The sequence below is a fragment of the Homo sapiens genome, chromosome 4 (genome assembly GCF_000001405.40).
Source record: "Homo sapiens chromosome 4, GRCh38.p14 Primary Assembly".
Taxonomy (NCBI): domain Eukaryota; kingdom Metazoa; phylum Chordata; class Mammalia; order Primates; family Hominidae; genus Homo; species Homo sapiens.
Genome location: NC_000004.12, coordinates 146502014 through 146524180, shown reverse-complemented (window position 1 = coordinate 146524180; position 22167 = coordinate 146502014). Strand labels below are relative to the sequence as shown.

The 22167-nt window shown below is 37.9% G+C and overlaps 1 protein-coding gene across 17 annotated transcripts in view, besides 5 other annotated features; it reads left to right on the top strand.

Moving 5' to 3' along the window:
- Positions 1394-1473: an enhancer, noted in NCBI's record as "active region_21997". NCBI's record gives its function as "activates an Ori minimal core promoter by ATAC-STARR-seq in GM12878 lymphoblastoid cells {active_cell/tissue: GM12878}" and the evidence as "EXISTENCE:reporter gene assay evidence [ECO:0000049][PMID:35858748]".
- Positions 1644-2063: an enhancer, noted in NCBI's record as "active region_21996". NCBI's record gives its function as "activates an Ori minimal core promoter by ATAC-STARR-seq in GM12878 lymphoblastoid cells {active_cell/tissue: GM12878}" and the evidence as "EXISTENCE:reporter gene assay evidence [ECO:0000049][PMID:35858748]".
- Positions 2074-2153: an enhancer, noted in NCBI's record as "active region_21995". NCBI's record gives its function as "activates an Ori minimal core promoter by ATAC-STARR-seq in GM12878 lymphoblastoid cells {active_cell/tissue: GM12878}" and the evidence as "EXISTENCE:reporter gene assay evidence [ECO:0000049][PMID:35858748]".
- SLC10A7 (solute carrier family 10 member 7) overlaps positions 2241-22167 on the top strand; it is a 267960-nt gene continuing 248033 nt past the window's right edge. For 12 of the 17 annotated variants that reach the window (XR_007057973.1, NR_133924.2, XR_001741332.3 and 9 more), the window contains exons 1-4: positions 2241-2563; positions 7061-7143; positions 14132-14268; positions 20257-20332. Coding sequence is in view for 13 of the 17 variants with exons in the window: in NM_001317816.2 (NP_001304745.1) it covers positions 2464-2563; positions 7061-7143; positions 14132-14268; positions 20257-20332 (396 nt within the window). In the remaining 4 variants the exon portion in view is untranslated. Of the gene's footprint in view, positions 2564-7060; positions 7144-9029; positions 10285-14131; positions 14269-20256; positions 20333-22167 lie in introns of those variants that run through there. The other 5 variants (XM_017008692.2, XM_047416249.1, NM_001317817.2 and 2 more) reach the window with 3 other exon arrangements.
- Positions 2374-2443: an enhancer, noted in NCBI's record as "active region_21994". NCBI's record gives its function as "activates an Ori minimal core promoter by ATAC-STARR-seq in GM12878 lymphoblastoid cells {active_cell/tissue: GM12878}" and the evidence as "EXISTENCE:reporter gene assay evidence [ECO:0000049][PMID:35858748]".
- Positions 2884-3113: an enhancer, noted in NCBI's record as "active region_21993". NCBI's record gives its function as "activates an Ori minimal core promoter by ATAC-STARR-seq in GM12878 lymphoblastoid cells {active_cell/tissue: GM12878}" and the evidence as "EXISTENCE:reporter gene assay evidence [ECO:0000049][PMID:35858748]".

The window sequence follows — 22167 nt, the reverse complement described above, 5'->3', positions numbered from 1 at the left end:
GGATTATCTGGGTAGGCCCTAAATCCAATGACAAGTGTCTTTATAAAAGATACACAGAAAAGGAGGTGCAACGTGAAGATGGATGCAGAAACTAGAATAATGTGGCCACTAGAAAGAAATACAGAGGGGAATGTGATGTGAAAACAGTGGCAGAGATTGGAACACTCTAGCTACAAGCCAAGGAAGGCACCACCAGAAACTAGAAAAGGCAAGGAAGGACTCTCCCCTAGAGCCTTCAGCGGGAGTATGGCTCTGCCAAAATCTTGATTTTGGACTTCTGTCCTCCAGAACTGTGAGATAATAAATTTCTGTTGTTTGAAGGCATCCAAGTTCGAGTATTTGTTTCAGCATCCACAGCAAACAAATACAGGCCTTAAGAGAATATAATTCATGGTACATTATATTCTTTTCCTTTAAGTACCATTAAAAACAGAACAAAAAAATCTCTGAGTTAGATTCTGCTCTACACAGATCAAAGAGGTATTAGTAAATAATTTGTGAATAGCTGTACAGTTAAAACAGCTCAATTTCTGTAAACTTAATGTTTAATGATGTTTTAATACAAAACTATCCCTTCAATGACTGAGACGTATGACTCTTTAACCTACTAAGAAATTACTATAAGAAAATAATTATGTTGTAAACTATCTTTCATTTATCTTCACTTATCTTCTGACTGCCTGACAACTAACATCAAATTTTATATTTCATGTACCTGTCTCTTTTCAGAGTAAACTGCTTAATGTCATCTATGTCTCCCTGTTAAGTTCTTTTTATCTTGAAATTAATTTTTTTTCATGTTGCCTGATGTATAATTAGATGACACTTGGTACTGTGTAACCTACAACTGGGAGCACAACTCTTAAAGTGGCTTAGTTTCTGGAAGTCTTGCCATCAAGATAAAGCTAAATTAAATAGAGGAAATGACACGACGAGTGTCTTTCCAGCTTTGAATAAATTCAGAATTAAAGTCTGTCATCACGAAACAATCTCTTCCAAACCTTAAGTTCTATTTTTAACCATTTAAGTGGCAGATGCCAGGTTATTTCAAAATATCACATACTATTTTCTTTCTTTCTTCATTTGGATGAATGATACAGTGGAGTTCATGCTCTTGCAGGGTCTACCGGTAGGAAGTCCATTCATGAAACCATCAATGTCACTGGTTGCCACAAGACATTTCAAGGAAGAAACTGGCAGATAGAACTAGCACTCGTGGCAATGGAAGGTAGGACTCCCCAACCTCTCAGACTCAATCCCCCACCACTTCCGCGTTGGAATCCGCGACCCTCTTCCCAGAGTTTTCCTGTGGCTTGGGTAGGTCAGCCCTGGGGGCGAGCCAGAGCGGGCACCCGCGCGCCCAGGGGCTTGCCAGCGCAGACCCCACTCCGCCCGCGAGTAGCTTAGTTGGTGGGGAGACTTCAGCTGTCACTCTCGGCCCGCAAAGGCAGATCTGCCCCGATCCCTGCAGCCCTCCCCAGTCCCGGAGACAGGTGTGGGCCGCAGAGGGAAGGGGATCCGGACCAAATGCCCACCCGCAGGCGAGCGACCTGGCGAGGTCGGGCCCACCTTCCTTGGGTTGTAGCGGACGCCGGCAAGCAGGGGTCCAGCGAACGTGGGCATCTGCCCGGCGCCGGATTTTCAACCCACCGCCAGAGATAAGGCTCCCCGCCCACCAGCGAGCCACTTTCCCGCGCGGACACCTCTAACTCCGGCAGCTCAGGCTGGGAACTCGGAGATCCAGAGTGGCCTCCCCTCCCCCCCGCGCATACGTCAGCGCTAGCGTCGTGGAAGCGCCGTAATGTCCCGAAGAAGCGCGTCTCCAAACTTGCACCCCGCTGCCGCAGCTTCAACGGAGAAATCCCTTGCCCCAAGCACACGTCAGCCCTGCCCGCGGAGTCATGGCACAGCAAAAGAGAGGCTCTCCATGGAGATATGCTCCAGAAGGGTGGGTGGCTGTGCCTAAAGGTTTGTTAGAAAAGGACAGTCAGTGAGGCTTGCTGGCTGTGGCGCCTTACGACGCTCTCCCCGACCCCTCGTCATTCAGAAGGTTCCGCAGGTCTCGACAGCGGTGCGCTTGTCAGCCCCATCCGGCGGCCAGCCTCCCTTGCCGGATCGCCCACGTTGTCGGCCTGGTCCGAGTTCTTCATTTCAAAGCATCTGCACCTGCGAGCCCGCGGCCAGAGGCGCTGGGGGCGTTTGTGCGCGTGTATTCTGAGGCGCGTGGTAGTGATGGCGGCGCTCAGTGAGACTTTCCTGTCACTGGCTACTACTACTCCCAACCCTCCTCAAAGCCGCCGGAGCAACCCCCAGGTCTTTACTTTACAATCGGCAATTTGACTTGCTCTGCTGCATGTCTGGAGGGACCAAGGAAAGTGTGGAGACGCTCCAAGGATTAGGTGATCGGAGCTTGAAAAGAAAAAAAGCCAAACAAATAAACAAAACCCACCCACCCTAACAAATATGAGGCTGCTGGAGAGAATGAGGAAAGACTGGTTCATGGTCGGAATAGTGCTGGCGATCGCTGGAGCTAAACTGGAGCCGTCCATAGGGGTGAATGGGGGTAAGTGCTGCACCTCTGCCGGCTCCACCGCGGCTCCCACTTCAGAACTAATTTGTGAGTCTTGGAAAGGTGGGGCAACCCTCATTGCAAGCGCTTGCCAATTTCAGGGGGCACTGACCAGCCTTTGGCCCTTTTGCTGATTTTCTAATTTACCAACCCCAGAGGGAACTTGTAATTAGGAACGAGGCAAAGGAATTTGAGGGCAGGTAGCCTTTTCCGTAGACAAACAATGACTATCCTGAGTGTCAAGAAGTGAGGTTACAGAGAATGAAACTTACTCCTCTTGCCTTCAAAGTAGCATCCTATCCCAAGGGAATCTAGGTTGCTAAGAGTTCCGTATCTATCTTGGAGTGGACCTCATTATCGAGTCTACTTTCGAGTCCTCCCCGCCCCCACATTAAAAAAAAAAGTGGAGGAAAAACAAGAAAAGGGACACCTCCGCCCCCAACTCAGATTTTATGGCCCACATGTTGGAGAGTGATGATTTGCTGTAGTTGCTGGTGCTCCAGAAACTCCCAAGCCGACTGACACGTTGCACTCTTTGATTACAGGACACTTCATTACAGCATACTTCCGTGTGCTGCCGGGATTCAGTTGCTATACTAGCAGTCTAACAGATACAGACTGTTAGACTATGTGTAGTGTAGTGTAGTGTGTGTTTTGGCAAGGAAATGTGGATGGACTGAAAGCATACTTAGATCTCTGAATAGTGGGAGCTTTGTACAGGAGATGATGGGCACTGGTGGGAACATTAGAAATATTAGTTTTTTATGCCCCCCCCAACACCTTTAGACAATCTTGTACTACTTTTCATAAACATTAATTGAATTTATTCAATTCGCTTGTCTTTTTGACCTTGTTTGTCAGTTTCCAAGCTTATTGACAGGTTTAATACCTAACTCATGCAACCGGAGCAAATAAGGATAGAGGTGAACAGGCACAATATTTCATAGTAGGAAGCGCTCAGGAGGATATTTGAAGTTATTTTTATCTTTTTGTTAAAACATGATGGAAGTGAATGAAATGATCTCTTAGGAGAACAGCAGTGGTCCCTTCTCCCCTTAACCTCCACCCCATTACTCTGTTTAGAAGTAGCTTCCGGGAACATTTTAAAAGGAATTATTTAAACCAAAATTGTGGAGATGAAGGATTGTTTGTTTTAAAATTTTGTTCTTCTGTATTCAACTTAGAACAAAATGTGTAGAATATGTAACTGTGAGAATAAAGCAGTTATTCCTGGTGGTTTCTCCCTCTGATTGATGGTAATAGTTTCTTCTTTAACACTGCTGCTCTGTGAACTTTTGGGAAACTCTTGTGAAGATCAGGTCTGTCAAATGAAGACCCCCTATCCCCGGAGCTAAATGAATAGTAAGACTTAGAGTACCTTTGCATGATCTGCAATGCACACTTCACTAGCTATCGCTTCTCGTGTTAGATCTCTTATTTGCTCAGTTTTGAGATGAAATTACAGAGGATGTATGATCTTTAACTTTAAATCTGCAGGGGCTAAGTTTGGCAAAATATCTTTTACCTTGCATTCCTAAATATTCTGTGGGAAGAAAGGTGTTGAATGCTGAATCATTTCCGTGGGGCTTTTCTGCAGTGGCATGTATGAGATAGATTCTGCAAACTTATGTGTTCCATAGACTCTGCTTATTAATATTTTGGTACATTATTGTATCATAGAAATGCCATTTCCCATTTCCACTAGTCCTTCTGTCTTTAATGTAGGATAATTCATTCCTTTGTTTAATTATAATAGAATGTTAAGAGGGGGAGGGGAATATTTAAAGTGTTTTAAGCCAACATGCTTCTTTTACAGTTGAAGATACCAGGTGACTCTCTCTAGGTTAAGGTAGCTAGCTTAGGGAAGAGGAACTATTGGAGACCAGGGTATTTAAAATTCCTGGGAAACTTCTACTTCCCAAGCAAGCCAGATTCCTTGACTTTAAAATCTGCTCCTGAATCACCTTGCTTAGCTGCTGAAGAAATATTACCTGTGTGAGCTGCTGAGACAGATTCACTAACAAATATAAAGATAATGTACCTCTTATAAAAGTTTTTGAGCAGCCTTCACTGCCCCCAAATGCAATGCCTTTTGCACTTGCCTTCTCCCTTTCTTTCCCTTTTCTTAGATCTCAGCAAAATGATTTGTGTAAATGCCAGGCATATTAAATAATTTATTACAGCATTTGAGGAAATCTTTGTTTCTTTTATTCATTGTTGTACTACAAATGCCTAAGACATAGTAGGTCATCTCTCTCTATATATAGATAATATTATATATTATGTTAAATAATGTATTATATATTATCATATTATATATTATGTTATATATTGTATATAATATGTTATATATTATATAAAATATATTATTATATATAATATATATTCTCTCTCAGAGGGGCCTTGAGATATTATGTATATTATATATTATGTACATTATTGTATCATATATTATATATTATGTTATATACATAATATATATTAATTATATATTATATTATATATATATATATATATATATATATATATATATATATATATATATGGTGATTTTTCCTGAGCTTGGTCTTCTGTCCATATATCGAACAAGTGGAGGGTTTCAGGCTATGGAGGAGCCGTGATTGTTGTCCTGTTGTTTTGCTTAAGTGAGTGTATTAGTTTCTTAGGGCTGCCACAACAAATTACCATGAACCAGGTGGCTCAGTACAACAGAAATTTATTATCTCACAGTTCTAGAAGCCAGAAGTCTGAGGTCAAGATGTCCTCCAAAGGACATCTGGGAAAGAATCCTTTGAGTCTTCTAGCTTGTGGTGGTTGCCAGCCGTTCCTTGGCTTGTGGCAATATAACTCCAGCCTCCACCTCTGTCATCACATGGCTATCTTCCTTGTGCATGTGTCTGTGTCCAAATTTCCATCTTTTAAGAATACCGGTTATTGGATTAATGTCCCTCCTAATCCAATAAGACCTCATCTTAACTTGATTACATCTGCAAAGACCCTATTTCCAAAAATGTGACATTCACAGGTTCTGGGTGGGCATGAATTTTGGGAGTCGGGGGACACTATTTAATCTAGTACAAGAAGACTGAATAGGATGCCAAATATGAGATGATCTTAGGTTTTTAAATGTTGCCATGTACCAAGATTTCTCAGCCTTGGCACATTGACATTTTGAACATGATAATTTTTGTTGTTGGAGGGGCTGTTCTATGCCTTCCAAGATGTTTAATAGAATTCCTGATCTCTACCCACTAGATGTTAGTAGCACATCCTATCCCCCAAGTTATGACAACCAAAAAACATTTCTAAACATTTTCAAATGTCCATGGAGGGTAAGATTTCTACTGCTGGAGAACCACTGCTATATAGGTATAAAATGTCATTTTCTCAGGACTGCATTTTTTGAAAGAATGTTGTTTTTTGTTAGCACATTAGGTCTTCAAGCCAATTGTGTACATGTCACAAATGATACTTATATCCACTCACAAATGATACTTTTAAGTATTGTTCTCGCAGTGTTAACACATTTGAATGCTGCCATCCTAACTCCAGAGAGGATTTCCTGGAAGGCAGGGACCAGGCCTGGCTGGGTCACCACATATCTCTAGGGCCTAGCACAATTTAATAATAATTACGGTCATAGCAATATATTATTAAGTACTTTATATGCATTATCTTATTCACATAGCAAGTGCTCAATAAGTATTTGTAGAATGAATACTCTTGGGCAGAACTGAATGCATGTGTGATTATAAGCTTTTGTTTCTGATATCCTAGAAGAAATGAAATAATATTTGCTAAAGAGAAGGGAACTTCTTCCATTGATTCCCTTCTTTGGGCTCGGGGGTATTTTGATTGTTATATAAGTGCTGATACCATGATAGATATAATTAGGACCTCTATTGAAGGATGTTGCTTACATGCTGTCCTGTGTGCTTCTTTATTCTTCTGGTCTGAAGACACTGTGCTGAGCAAGACAGCCACGGTCCTTGCCCTCTGGAAAATGCTCTCTGGAGTTAGGCTGCATCACACAAATGCTTACCTCTGTTGGGACAGTAAGACACCAGGGGTGACACTGATATCTAAAGTACCATTTGTTGTCCTGCAGTAGATTATTATTGTTGTTATTATTATTATTATTATTATTTTGAGACAGAGTCTTGCTTTGTTGCCCAGGCTGGAGTGCAATGGCGTGATCTCAGCTCACTGCAACCTCTGCCTCCTGGGCTCAGGTAATCCTCCCACTCAGCCTCCCAAGGAGCTGGGAACTACAGGCATGCACCACCATGCCCGGCTAATTTTTGTATTTTTAGTAAAGACTGGGTTTTGCCATGTTGGTCAGGCTGGTCTTGAACTCCTGGCCTCAAGTGCTCTACTCGCCTCGGCCTCCCAAAGTGCTGGGATTACAGGTGTGAACAAATAGATTCTTCTTTTGTGCCAAGTTATCTACTGAAATTCTTTTCTAGCAATAACTCTTTTTTCTCTTTTTAGGACCACTGAAGCCAGAAATAACTGTATCCTACATTGCTGTTGCAACAATATTCTTTAACAGTGGACTATCATTGAAAACAGAGGTACTGTCATCTATGGGACACATGAAAAGCAGGGAGAAAAATTTAATTTGTACTTACTTAAATTTAAGAGTCCTTTGGTAAAGCTGTTTATAGCTATAATCTGAAGGATTCACTATAGCAGAAGATAACTTGGTCGGCAAAGGACTTGTGTTTCATTCCTACATATGTGTATTATAAAAGCTGTACAGTTGAGCAGCATGGGCCCTGAGGATGTGGTTATAATGAGTATGTTTTTAATATGACAGCTGAACTGAAGCATCTACTTTAGTTCTTCCTCAACTTATGGTGGTAACTACAGTGGTGCCTGCTATGCCTGGGCACATTTGAGCTGTTGATGTTCAGTTTGGTTTTCATAACTTTTGTGGATCATCTTTGGTTCCCAGGACTCATGCTGTTCAAATAATGCTTAATTTGTCATAACTTTTAATTAATTTTTATTTAGAAAAGCTTATTGTTCCTTAGCATATCTATTAAATATTAATAGATGTCTTAAGAGAAATATTGATGTTTTTCATTTGACACATATATGTATGTGTATATGTATATGTGTATATATATACACATATACATATACACATACATATATGTGTCAAAAGTGTGTGTGTATACACACACACACACAAACACACACACACCCCACACCTATATATGTAATGTTATTTACTGATTTACTGATTCAGGTTTCACTGAACATGAGATTCTCTTGGAAGTAAAGAAATCCAGACATTTTTACATTTACGTGTGATAGAGGAATGAGTAGAATTTATGATTCTCTTTTAACTTACAATGGAAGAAAAAAAAAGAGGAGAAAATACCCATTTGGTCTTGAAGAAATTACATAAAATATCATTCTAACATCCTGTTCTTATATAGATGGGACTATCTCACTATAAGAAGGTATTTTGTTTTTGGAAATGGCTTTAAAAATTAAGATTCTGGTCCAGCATCATGTCTTACCTTTATTTATTTTAAGTGTGATTGGAATGAAGACTAAATTTAGTTATCTCCTTCTTAGATCATCCTAGTAGCAACATGGAAAAAATATGACTTTACTAAATTTATGTATTCTGTAGCCATCGGTTGGTATAAATCTTTTCATTGGGTTTTTTTTTTTTTTTTTTTTTTTTTGAGATGGAATCTCACTCTGTTGCCCAGGCTGGAGGGCAGTAGCGTGATCACGGCTCACTGCAACCTCCGCCTCCCGGGTTCAAGTGATTCTCCTGCCTCAGCCTCCTGAATAGCTGGGACTACAGGCACCCACCACCACGCCCGGCTAATTTCTGTATTTTTAATAGAGGTGGGGTTTCACTACATTGGCCAGGCTGGTCTTGAACTCCTGACCTCAAATGATTCACCCACTTCAGCCTCCCATAGTGTTGGGATTACAGGCATGAGCCACCACACCCGGCCTCATTGGGGTATTTTTTGATATACGTAGGATCATTGTGTAGTGTCTATAGCTGATAAATTGTGTCTCAAGAATTGTAAATATTTTCTGTGATTACCTGCTTTTCTGAAAATAACTGACATGGGATGAGATTTCCTAGTATGTCAAATTCCAATTTTGGTAAACAATATTGATATGAGAGGACCATAATTACTACTTACACAGGCTTTTTTTCTGTCAACATATGAGTTCTAATATTTGTTCTCAAATGTGGGGCACAGTGATACAGAAAGATATTTGCTACTACCATAATGTTGGACTGATCTTGCTTGGAGGTCTTCCTGCTGACCTTGGCTAATGCTCTTTATGGAACTGCTTTCTAACCCAAGTCCTTTACTTGGGGCGTTGCTCTATGTCCCCTGGTGGCTGCTTAATGGCTACAGCTGTTACTTGTGCCATGGGAAATCCAGAAAGCAACTTGATTTCTCTCACTCCTTAGCTTCTTACTTAATGCGATTCTGCGAAGCAGCCAACTTTGTGGGATGCAGGAGTTGAAGAAGGAAGAATGCCACAGCTGTCAGCATTTCTCTAAGGACTGACTTCTTTTGTAAGCACCTAAGAAACCTTCAGAGTCATCCAGCTAATTTGGATCTAATGAAATGCCGTGATCTCGTGCTTTATCGTGGTATCTAAGCAGCAATCAAAGCCATTTCTTCCATCAAAAGCCCTTTTCAAAAGAATACAACATTAAGTCATTTTCAAAAGCCATATAACTTAAGATGTCCTAGATTGTATCATTGTGTAATATTAAACCACTTCTAAAGCCTGCTAATTTCATGGTTAACTTGTAACTTAGGAGGTAGCAGTCATATTTGTTTACTAGTTAGTAATCCTAAATTCATTTCAGTGGGGATTACGATTTATATGTCTTATTAGGTCCTAAAATAGTTCATTTTTGCATACAAGAGACAGTGAATTATTATTGACTTGAGTTTATTTGGAAGCATTTGTGTTGGTCCCATTCAAGTTTGATTTATATTGAACATTTCTTATATGACTCATACATTGATTTAATGACATGTATTCTAAAATTTGTTTTAGTAATTTGTTAAAATTATAAAGGACACTGTGCTAATGCAATGCTGAGTCTTCAGTTTTATGACAACTTCTAGTTTTTTGAAATTTTGTTGTATTGAAGTGAAATATGGTTACATTTAAAATTCATATTTAGTTCACTTCAAACCTGTAGTTTCAGAGGCTTTGTCACTTAGCCGACTGTGGCAGGGCGAATTTGTTTAAACAAGTATCAATTAAGTGCTTATGGCCACAAGGCACGGTGCTGGGGATAGAAACAAAGGTGAGCAGGAGACTTAGGGGCTGAGAAAAGGTCCTGAGTAGGGCAGAAGATGCAGGCTTTTATTTTTCTGTAAAAATTATTATCTTTTATCCTATTAGCAGAAAAGCAAATATAGCAAACTCTAAACTTTAGATGTGTGCTGTTTGTTTCAAGCCCAGAGCTATGAGCCTGACTCTCAGCAAATGAATGAGATGGTCAGATAAAGGGTTACAAGAGAAATCGGTGTCTAATGAAAATATTTCTACGTCCCAATTAGAGCCCTGGTTTTAAGCAATGCTTGATGCTGTCAATGAGACTCTGGTATAATCAGTAAATGATGTGGAGTGTCTTCTTAAGTTTATTTTAATGGATTTTGACCTTATTACATATGAATAAACAAACTATGATGCAGAGCCAACTTTTTGATTATTCATGATGGCATTTATTTGACTATGTGGCTCAAAATTCTACATGGGTATGTATGGAATAATAACTATTTTGGAATTTACAGGGTTTACTTGCTTGTTATTTTCTTTTATTACCTTGTTTTATCTTTATGGTTGTATGCAGAAGATATGGAAAATATATGATGCTGGGATTTTGTGAAAGTCTTGAAACTCTTTCTTAGAAGCGCTTCCCTATTGTTAAGAGGCCCCTTATGAGCCAACATGGTTGGTTGTTGTGACTTGTTTTGCTGGGTTCTTTACTGTACCATCATTCTGATGCAATGGCAATTTCTAATTGTCATTTATTAGGTCAGCAGTATTTTCTAAGCACATTTTAGTTTTTATAACTTGTTTCTGTTGTAATAAAAGTGGTATTTACTTATAGAAAGATTAGAAAGATTGAAAATGACTAGTATTAACTATTAACATCAATTTTTTAGTCCTTTTTAAAAAATATGTTTTATATGCATAATATTTTACAAATAAAATTGTATGTGAATGTAGTATGTTTATACACATATTGCAGATCTATACACATACACACATGTAATCTTATCCTATTCTTTTCATGTAACATTGTATACTTTTAATGTAATTTAATATTATTTATATTTTCTTTATATAGTATAACAAAAATGTATACGTTACTTACTTTTATGAACATATGATTTATTTACATAGTTCAGAATTGAAAGGTATAAAGATATGTATAAGTCTTTTTTTTTTCACTCTTCCACCAACTATCCAGTTTTCTTCTCTGGAGACAAACAATGTTAACAATTTCTGCGTACCTTTCCAGAGATATTCCATGTGAAACATACACATGCATATTCTACTTCCCTACAGATTGTATTTCATACTCTTTGGCACCTTAACTTATTTTACTTAAAAAATGTGTCTTGTACATTGTTTCATCTCAACACATAAATAAGCCCATTTTTTTTGTACATCAAATAGTATTCTGTTGTACGGATGTGTCATGATGTATTTTTGTTGTCCTCTATTGATGAACATTTAGTTAATTTACAAGGTTTTGCTATTACAAACATGTTGCAAAGGATAAAAATATATTATTTCCTATATTTGGAAACATATGTGAAGGATAAATTCCTGGAAGTGGAATTGCTAGGTCAAATGATATATGTAGTTTAAGTTGTAACAGATATTCCAAGTACCTAGAATGGTGCCAGGTGCTCAGTAAGTATTACTTAAATGAAGGAATGAGTTGCCAGGTTGCTCTCTATAGGTTATGCCAATTTATACACCTATTGATAAAGTAGGGGAGAGATTCTGTACACCTGCATTCTCATCAACAAGGTATTTAATAGCTCATAACACTCCAATTAGATTTTAACTTTTTAAATGATTCTCTTATGTTTGGACATTTGTTTCCAGATTTTGCTCGAATAGATAACACTGTGATGATCAATTTTGTGTATAAATGTTTACAATCACATTTTTATATCTTTAGGATAAATTCCTAGTCATAAAATTCTGGGGTCCAAGAATATGAATTATATAGTCGTTGATATATATTACCAAATTAATTTTCAGAAAAGTTATGCCATTTTTTATTCCTGTCAGAAGTATATGCAGTCCGGGCACGGGGGCTCATGCCTGTAATCCCAGCACTTGGGGAGGCCAAGGCGGGTGGATCACCTGAGGTCAGGAGTTCCAGACAAGCCTGGCCAACATGTCAAAACCCCATCTCTACTCAAAATACAAAAATTAGCTGGGTGTGGTGGTGGGCGCCTGTAATCCCCGCTACTTGGGAGGTGGAGGCAGGAGAATCGCTTGAACTCAGGAGGCAGTGGTTGCAGTGAGCCGAGATCGCACCATCGCACTCCAGCCTGGATGACAAGAGCAAAACTCCATCTCAAAAAAAAAAAAAAAAAAAAAGAGTATATGCAAATGCCTTAGTGTATTCTGGCTAATCATTTCATTACAGTATTTTAAAAAATAAAAATACTAATATTTGTTTAGTGTTTATCAAATGCCTCTGAGTATATTTAAATGAGATTTGGCTTCAAGGCTGTTGAGAATTCTCTGGAACTGCTGGTGCTCAAGTTTTCTCTGGAGTAGAGCTCTAAGAATTCTGATTCACTGTAAGGATGGCTTGCTTTCTCTTAGGTCTGATCCCAGGACCTAATATGACTTCTGGTAGGCTGAGTGTTTTCTAGTGGTCCTAAATTATACTCAGATCGCTAGAAATTCTTTAGATGTCATTTAGGGATGTCTTGTGACCTAACAGGAAGGAACTGCTGTGTGTATCTCCACACAGGGAAGTAGACAGTGGGAAGTGATGAGACTAATCTCAGAATGTGGTGATGAGCGAATGAGTCTGCATTAACGTACTGTTGATTAAACTGATAAACTTTGGCTAATGTCCCTGAGGCTGAGGATCTCTTGAACATCTTACCTGAACAAAGGGGCCATTGCAGTTCTATACTTACAACCAGTAACTCTCTGGCATAGTTGAATATGTTTTAATGATCACTTGCTTGTTTTAAAGGACTATAGTTTTTCTAGCACTTTCCAGTTTTATTTTAGTTTTCCATTTTGTTTTTATTTCAACACAATATAAACTCAAATGCAAGTATTTGTGAGTTTATATATATTTGAATCCTAGAGGTTAACTAATTATCCTTTTTTAGTTGTTAAACTCATAACGTGTGCCTGGTTTCTTATGTTTAATGTGCATTTTTTTTTCCCCTCTTGGGGCAGCAGTGGGAGAAGCAGGCATGGGTTTGCTAGCATGCCGGAAAATTTAGTTCTGATCTTCACCATATAGTAGCCCTCAACTTCAATTTCTTCATCGGTAAAACAGGGATAATAGTATTTACTTACTGAGATTCTTGTGAGGATTAAGTGAGATAACATGTAAAGTGACAAGCTCAGATTATGGCATAAAGCTGGTATTCTGTTAGTGTTAACAAAGAATCTAGTGAATAGACTGTGGAAGGAAATGCCATTTGGAATTAGAGACTATCATTGAGGGAAATATTTTTTAAAGTATTAATTTGTAGATTCAGTAACATCTTGCCAAATTGAGGACTTATAGCCTTGGTGCAATGAATAGAGGTTAATTACTGTATTTGGTTGAAATGTGATAGGTCTTATTAAGGTTTTTTTGAAAAGATTTCTTATTTTATGTAGGTAAACATACATGCACGTTGTTCAACAATCCCCAAATCTATAGTAGTATGAAGTATAGTTAGCTTAGTCCTGGTCCAGAGTTTTACACATCTGATTTGTTAGGGCTTATTGTGTATTGTAAAGAAATTAGAATAAGAACATTTAAAAAATTTTAGGCCAGGCGTGGTGGCTCATGCCTGTAATCCCAGCACTTTGGGAAGCTGAGGGGGGCAGATCATGAGGTCAGGAGATCAAGACCATTCTGCCCAACATGGTGAAATCCCATCCTACTAAAATACAAAAATTAGGAGGGCATGGTGGTGGCAGGCACCTGTAGTCCAAACTACTCAGGAGGCTGATGCAGGAGAATCCCTTGAAACTGGGGGACGGAGGTTGCAGTGAGCCAAGATCGCGCCACTGTACTCCAGCCTGGGCGACGAGCAAAAACTCCATCTCAAAAAAAAAAAAAAATTTAAGAAATTTTAAACAAAAATACTTTATAGCCTTCATGAGTAACTTTTTTATCTTGCATTCTGTCTTGTATGCATATACTTATAGATAAAAATTTTAGCTATGAAAAAACCCAAAATTAAGAACTAACTCATGTGATGTTATTTTAGTAGGGATCTCCTTTCAGGAATAGTTTTCTTACCTTTGTTTATTTTGTTTCCTTAATTTTTCCAGGAGCTGACCAGTGCTTTGGTGCATCTAAAACTGCATCTTTTTATTCAGATCTTTACTCTTGCATTCTTCCCAGCAACAATATGGCTTTTTCTTCAGCTTTTATCAATCACACCCATCAACGAATGGCTTTTAAAAGGGTATGTTTAAATCTTTAAAAGTGGGTCCACTTTTAATGGGGCATCTCTAGAGACATTATTGTTTCTATGGCAACTATATACAAAAGGGCTTATGTGTACCATCTTAAAAGGAAGTAAAAACACATCTTTGTTTTCCTTTAAAACAATAGTATTTCATCAAGGAGGTTCATCAAATAATTAACAGAATCTTAAGATACACCCTCATGCTTCATCCTGTGGTTTTACGACGAGCACTTTTCTGAGAATTTTAGAGTGGTCTTGGAAGAAAAATGAGAAGGACTAGCAGATGTAAGATCTGTATGCAAGTCAATTGGATGTCAATTAATTAGATAATAGCTGAGTATAATGTGTGTTTTAGAAATGTTTAAGGAAGAAAACATACATATATGTGGGACAAACGTTACCTTTTCATTGTTTTATGTTTGATATAATAGTTGAACTTAGAGCCTGAAGATTGAATTCTGACCATATCCCTAACATACTATGTGACTTTGAGCAAAGTTTTTAAATAGTTTTTAATGTCAATTTCCCTGTCTAGAAAAGGAGGATAATCGTACTTTTACTGCTTACTTACCAATGATGTTGGGGATATCAATTGAAATTGCATATTCATTGATTCAAGTTATTTATTTAGCTTCTACTTTGTTTCAGGAGTTATTATACATATTGGAGAAACAACAGTGAAATGCCTGTTAGTTTTGCATGTTGGGGAGTCTCAGGGGGTGTTGTATCAATAAACAAGTAAGTAGATGAGCAAGATAGAGATAAATGATGTAAAAAGAACAAAACAGTGAGATATGTGAAAGTGGTTGGGTGGGCAGGCTTTTGATTAATTTAGATTTCAGAGTTCTGGGGGCAGAATGTTCTAGGGAAAGGAAACATAATGTACAAAGGCTCTAGGGCAGGATCAAGCCTGTTGTGTTTTCCAGTCAGTAAAGCAGCCAGGAAGGCCAGAGCCTGGTGATGTAGAGGAAAAATACCATGTCCTAGCGGTATAAAAGTAGGCAGGAATGAGGTATGTAGAGCCTTATAGGCCGTGGTACAGCATTCAGATTTTATTCTGAGTGCTACAGGAAGCTACTGGAGGGATTGGAATGAGAGAGTGATGTGGTCTGATTTATGTTTGCAAATGATTCTTCTGATAGCTATGTGTAGAAGAGATAGTAGAGGGGCCTGAGAGAAATCAACTCAGAGAGTAGTGGTGAGGTAGCAGTTCAATAGAGAGGAATGAATGTGTGCCAGATAGATTTTACAGTAGAGCTTTCAGCAGTGATGGGTGAGGAGGATGTAGAAGGAGGACAGAGGAACCAAGCGTGACTTCTGGGTTTTAGGTATGAACCACTGGGTAATTGGTAGCATCATTTACTTAAGAGGGGAAAACTAGGTTAGGAGGCATGGTGGAAATCAAGAGTGCCATTTTGGCCAGATTTAGTTTCAGAGAATGAACATAAAATTTCACCAAAAAGTGTAAAATGCCACATAAATATGATGACATCATTTTAGAGCAAAAATGTATTATGCATATCAAGAACCAATAGTTACTGAATATCTGCCATGTGTAGGCCACTCAAGGAATACAAAGATATTTACTCATTTTTGTTGTCTTCTGGGAACTTCCAACCTAGTTGGTTATAAAGGACATATATATGTATGCCTCCTAGTAATCACTAAAATGGGGCACCATGTGATTTTTCAGATGAGTGGTGTAATCAGTTAAAGAATAAGCAGTTCAGCAAAGGTTGGGTACTCGTAGAGATTTCAAAAATGCGGCATTAATGAGATACAAAGATAAAATATTTCCATAGGGTCGGCTTGCAGAAGGCCTGAATTACTGGGCTGAGGAATTTGCATTTGAAGCTATAGATGATGGAGAGAGAGCTGTTAAAAATGCTCAACAAGCGAATAACAACATGTTTAAAAGTGGCTACTAAGGAAGATTAATTGGACAGCTTGGACTCTCAATATGCTAAATAAAACAAACAATTCTGACTTCAAGATGTTGAACTTAAAGGAGTGTACACTTACCGTAATTCACTTAGAGAAAGCTCTTCCTGGCTTAGTGTTTTTTCCCTTCCCCTCCCTAATTTGAAAGTACATACTTAGTATATTAACTTGAAGGGATTGCATAATCATGTTTAAGTTGTTGAAATAAAGATGTTCTGAGCACATGCTCCTTACCTTGCATAGTAAAGGGACAGAGTGAGGTAGAGGGAACATTGAATAGGCCTTTTTAAGTGTCCAGATTGGCTGAGAAGCATCTGGACAGGGATGATGGTGGCAGTAGTCATGGAGGAAACTGGAAAGTTAGTTATGGTGACAGATTGATTTATTTTTATTTTTATTTTTATTTTTTGAGACAGAGTCTCACTCTGTCACCAGGCTGGAGTGCAGTGGCGTAATCTCAGCTCACTGCAACCTCTGCCTCCCGGGTTCAAGTGATTCTCCTGCCTCAAGCCTCCTGAGTAGCTGGGATTACAGGTGCCCGCCACCATGCCCGGCTAATTTTTGTATTTTTAGTAGAGACAGGGTTTCACCATGTTGGCCAGGATGGTTTCAATCTCTTCACCTCGTGATCCGCCCACCTCAGCCTCCCAAAGTGCTGGGATTAAAGGCGTGAGCCACTGCGCCCAGCCACAGATTGATTTTTGAGGAGCAAGAGGAGTCACATATAACTTCAAAGTTTCAAACTGGATCATTAGGGAAAAAACTGGTCCCATTGATCAAAAAAAATATGTAAATTCAGAGGGGAAGTTTATTTTTCAGAAAACATATGAATTCTTTCTGAAGATCTATTGTACAGCATGGTAACTATAGTTAATAACGTATACTAGAAAATTGCCAAGAGAGTAGATGTATATGTTAATTAGTTTGATTGTGGTAATGATTTCACAGTGTATACACATGTCAAAACATCATGTTGTATGCCATAAATTTTTATAATATTTCCTTGTCAATTATACCTCAATAAATTTGGAAAACAAATATATAAATACAATATTAGACATGCTTAGTTTAGAGTGGCAGTCATAGGCAGCTACAAATTCGGGAATTGTAGTTAGGGCTAAAAAATATAAACTTGAAAGTATTCCTAAAGATTGAAAATAAGATTGAAAAGATGGCAGGAGAGCCAGCAAAAACAAAAACAAAAACAAAAAAAAACCAAACAAACAAACAAAAACACCAGAATGACTGGTTTAAAACACAGAAGCTAAATTTGAATGAACTACAATGGTAACCATGAAAATATTAGAGTGGCCTGAGAGGTAAGAAGGTAAGCAGAATGAATATGAGGAAAAATATACCAGATTTGGTGATTTGGGGATTACTGGTTACTTTAAGGTTACTATTACTAGTAGAGGGGGCAGAAGTCTTATTTCAGAGAAGTAAAGAGAATGGTCTCTGGGGCCATGGAGGCAGGCACTCTTTAAAGGTCAAAAGTGAGTCACAATGAGAAAAGTGGGATTGTATCTTGAGGAGGCAGCACCACTCATTTCACTCATTTTGCTGTTAGTTATCTATATTTCTGCATTGACTCTTCTGCCTCCTTGAAGGCAGGAATAATGTCTTTACTTCTTTTTAAAAATTATTTCCTGTAGGATTTTACTCATAGAAGATATATGTATTCAATATATAGTTGGCAAATTTTTTTTTTTGAGATGGCATCTCACTCTGCTGCCCAGCTGGAGTGCAGTGGCACAATCTTGGCTCACTGCAACCTCTGCCTCCTGAGTTCAAGCAAAATTTTTGTCTTTTTAAAACTATGAGAATTCTGCTTTTTTGCACATAGAAGGGAAGGGGCTGGAAGAGGAGGGATGAAAAAGCTAAAAAGATTGAAAATGCCTGAGAGGATCTGTCCTAGTATTGGGGGTAGGGGAGACAGAAGGCGGAGAGGCTGAAGTGGGAGGCCTAGATAAGTCTTTGACCCATAAAAGTTTTACCCCAGATAGGTGGCTTTGTGAGTTTGGGAAAGTTACTTATCTTCTTTCTTCACTTCAGTTTTCTGTAAGATGGGAATAATAATAACACTTATCTTAAATATAACTTTTGAGAAATAAATGAGATAGTATGTAAAGTGTTTAGAATAGTGTCTACTACAAATGGTAAATGCTCAGTATTAGTGATGATGATAGTAGACTCTAAGGAAGCCTCAGAGATTGGGAATTTATAATAGGACAGACGACTCTAGTAGCTCTTTGTAAAACAGATCTGGAAAGAAGACCATATTAAATGGAACTGAGTTGGAAATTCCATAAAATGGGTTTTCTTATGCTTCAATCAAAACGAGTTTAAACATTTTTTTCCTATTTCAGAGCTAATGTTGAATCCATTGCATAAAGTTTAGATAATATGTTCTTACAAAAATGAATAAAAATATAGTTGACCTTGAACACTGTGAGGCTTAGAGGTGCCAACCCCCATGCCGTTGAAAATCCACATATAACTTTTGACTCCCCAAAAACTTAACTACTATTAGCCTAACCATTGACTGGAGGCCTTACCTATAATATAAAGAGTCGATTAATATATATTTCATATATTACATGTATTACATATTCTTACAATTAAGCCAGAGAAAAGAAACATATTAAGAAAATTATAAGGAAGAAAAAATATATTTACTATTCATTAAGTGGAAATGGATCATTATACAGGTCTTCATTTTTGTCATCTTCACATTGAGTAGGCTAATGAAGAGGAAGAAGTCTTGCTGTCTCAGGCATAGCAGAAGCAGAAGAAATTCTTGTATAAGTGGGGCCCTCACATTTCAAATCCATGTTGTTAAATGGCCAACTGTAACCTTTAATCATACCCATTCAAAATCTAAGTCAGATACTCTGTGTCATCTATGCCCTGTATGAACTTTCCACTTAGGCCAGCTACCTGTTCTCCCCAGAAGATATATTCTATATGAATTTTGAGTAATTAAAAAAATGTATAGTACTTAAATTTATTACTCATAGTTTCATTTGCTTGTTATGCAATTTATTTTCTGTCCTAAACTAAGAAAATAGACCTGTCATCATCTTGGGTGTGTGCACATAATATAATAAAAACCAAATTGAGGATAGATACTAGAATTTACTACAGAGTCTGAATGCAAGAAGTATGTGATTGTGTCATGCCTGTTTCTATAATGTTATTACAATGTTAAAATGTCTTTTGTGAGATGAAGATTTGAAAACTGCTCTTCTATAGAAAGAAATCCAAAGATGTAAGCTTGTGTCTTGTCAAGTATTTTTGAACTTAGGAAGTGGTTTTGAAGATTTAGAGACTTCCTACAAACAAAATGTAGGGAAAATATTTTTCACTTTACCTAAAAATAACCTAAGACTATATACACTTACCAAATGATTAGCCGTTTTGGTTATCTTTCTTTTTTTTTTTTTTTTTTTTGAGACGGAGTCTCACTCTTTCGCCCAGGCTGGACTGCAGTGGCGCTATCTCGGCTCACTGCAAACTCTGCCTCCCAGGTTCACACCATTCTCCTGCCTCAACCTCCTGAGTGGCTGGGACTACAGGCACCCGCCACTGTGCCCGGCTAATTTTTTGTACTTTTAGTAGAGATGGGGTTTCACTGTGTTAGCCAGGATGGTCTCGATCTCCTGACCTCGTGATCTGCCCATCTCGGCCTCCCAAAGTGCTGGGATTACAGGCGTGAGCCACCGAGCCCTGCCCATTTTGGTTATCTTTCAATGACTGCACTCACTATACCTTGACTGCTTTTTGAATTGTATAATAAGAGCTTAAATAGCTTAAAACAGACTCACTCAAGCCTATGGAATAGCATAAGAGATTAGAACCCATACATTTGCAGCACCGTGTAAGCCACGTTGCCTTGTGTAGACTTGTCTAAATTCAACAGGGGATGTGCATCAATAAATATGCCCTTATATTCATTTGCTCAGCCTTGCTATTTTAGAATGAATGTAGTGAAAGCTGTCTATGATTATAAAATTATTTATAGTTGGATTTTCTTTTATTTTTCAGTTTGCAGACAGTAGGTTGCATGCCTCCGCCTGTGTCTTCTGCAGTGATTTTAACCAAGGCAGTTGGTGGAAATGAGGTGAGTCATGGGGCTACCTTATTTAAACATAAGTGCATGCTGTGCTTTTATTTCAAAAATATATCACATTTTTGGACATGAAGGGTTGATGTTGCAGAAAACTCCTAGCCATAGCAGCTTGTGAAAGAAGGAGGTGTACTCACATACTAGCATGATGCTAAAATTGATTATGATGGATGGAATTTAGGATTTCAAAGAGAAGAGCAAGGGAAATGAGTGAAATAGAGATAGTGATTTTTCTTCTACCTCAGTGGAAATTGGGAGACAAAGGACAGAGAAGACCTGGGAAAGGCATTTTTCATCCAAGATTCTCAGACTGAGGGCATCCAGTATGGCGATTCCTTATCTCCAAAAAATTTGTTAACAAACTAAATTGATGGGGAAAAGTTAAATATGTTTAATGGCAAGTGAGGATGATATAAAAAGAAGAAATTAGGTTAGGTTTCTTAGATGAATTCAAAGAGATTATTCAACTGCTAGGGGACTATGGCACAATAATTGTATTTGTATATTGGAGTAGCAATTGTCCAATGCAGAAGCTACTTATAGGGGGTTCTTCCTTGGTTGAAAGGTGCTATGACTTTATACTGACGGACATTCATTTGTGATAGCTTATTTCTCCTTTTCTACTTATATTCTCTCATTCAGAAAAAAGATGTTATTGAAGGAGGGAAGATATAATGGGTTTCCACTTCAGTTCATTCTTAGGATTCTGCTTTCAACATCTATTTTCATTTTCATCCACTTTATGCTTTCCAAAAATATTGAGTACCTGCTATATTCTTTTTGAAAACAGGTTTATGGAAGTATCATTGACATATAACCAACTGTATAAACTTAAACAGTTTAATGTTTTGACATATGTGTACATTTGTGAAACCATCACCACAATCAAGATAGTGAACATATCCATATCCATATATACACCCTCAAAGAGTTTCCTGAGTCCCTTTGACATTCCTTCCATCTGCCCTTCTCAACACCCCTCTTCCCCAGGCAACCACTGATCTGCCCTCTGTCACTATAGATTAGTTTGCGTTTTTTAGAGTTTTATGCAATGGAATTACACAGTTTGTGCTCTTTTTTAAAATCTTTTCTGGCTTCTTTTACTAAGCATACATATTTTGAAATTCATCTATGTTGTGTTCATTAATAATTCAGTATCTTTTTTGCTGAGGAGTAGTATTTTGTATAGATACACTACAAATTGTTTATCCATTCACTTGTTGATGGAAATTTGGGCATTTTCTAATTTTTGGCTATGAGCATTTACTGTAGAAATCTTAAGTTTATATATAATATACCCCCGTTTCCTTGGAAATACCTAGGAGTGGAATGGGTATATCATCCAGTAGGTGTAAGTTCTAGTACCTTTTAATCAAGGAAGAATCATCTATAAATAGTTATAAGTCTCCTATAAATAGCTTCTGATGTAGACCATTTCTCTCAATATATAAGCACTCTTCTTTTACTACATGTGTATGTTTAACTTTTAAATAAATTACCAAACTATTTTTTAAAGTGGTCATACAGTTTTACATTCCAACCAGTAGCGAATGAGAGTTCCAGTGTTCTACATCCTAGTCAACATTTGGTACTGTATTTTCAGTCTTTTTAATTTTTGCCATTCTAATACGGTGTAATGATATCTCATTGTGGTTCTAATTTAATTTGTATTCCCAGTGATATTGAGTATCTTTTCATGTGCTGATTTGCTATTCATATGTCTTCTTTAGTGAAATGTCTATTAGCTCTCTTGCTCATTTTTTAAAAAATTGGGTGGTTTGTTTACTTATTGATGAGCATTAAGAGTTCTATATATTCTGGATATATCT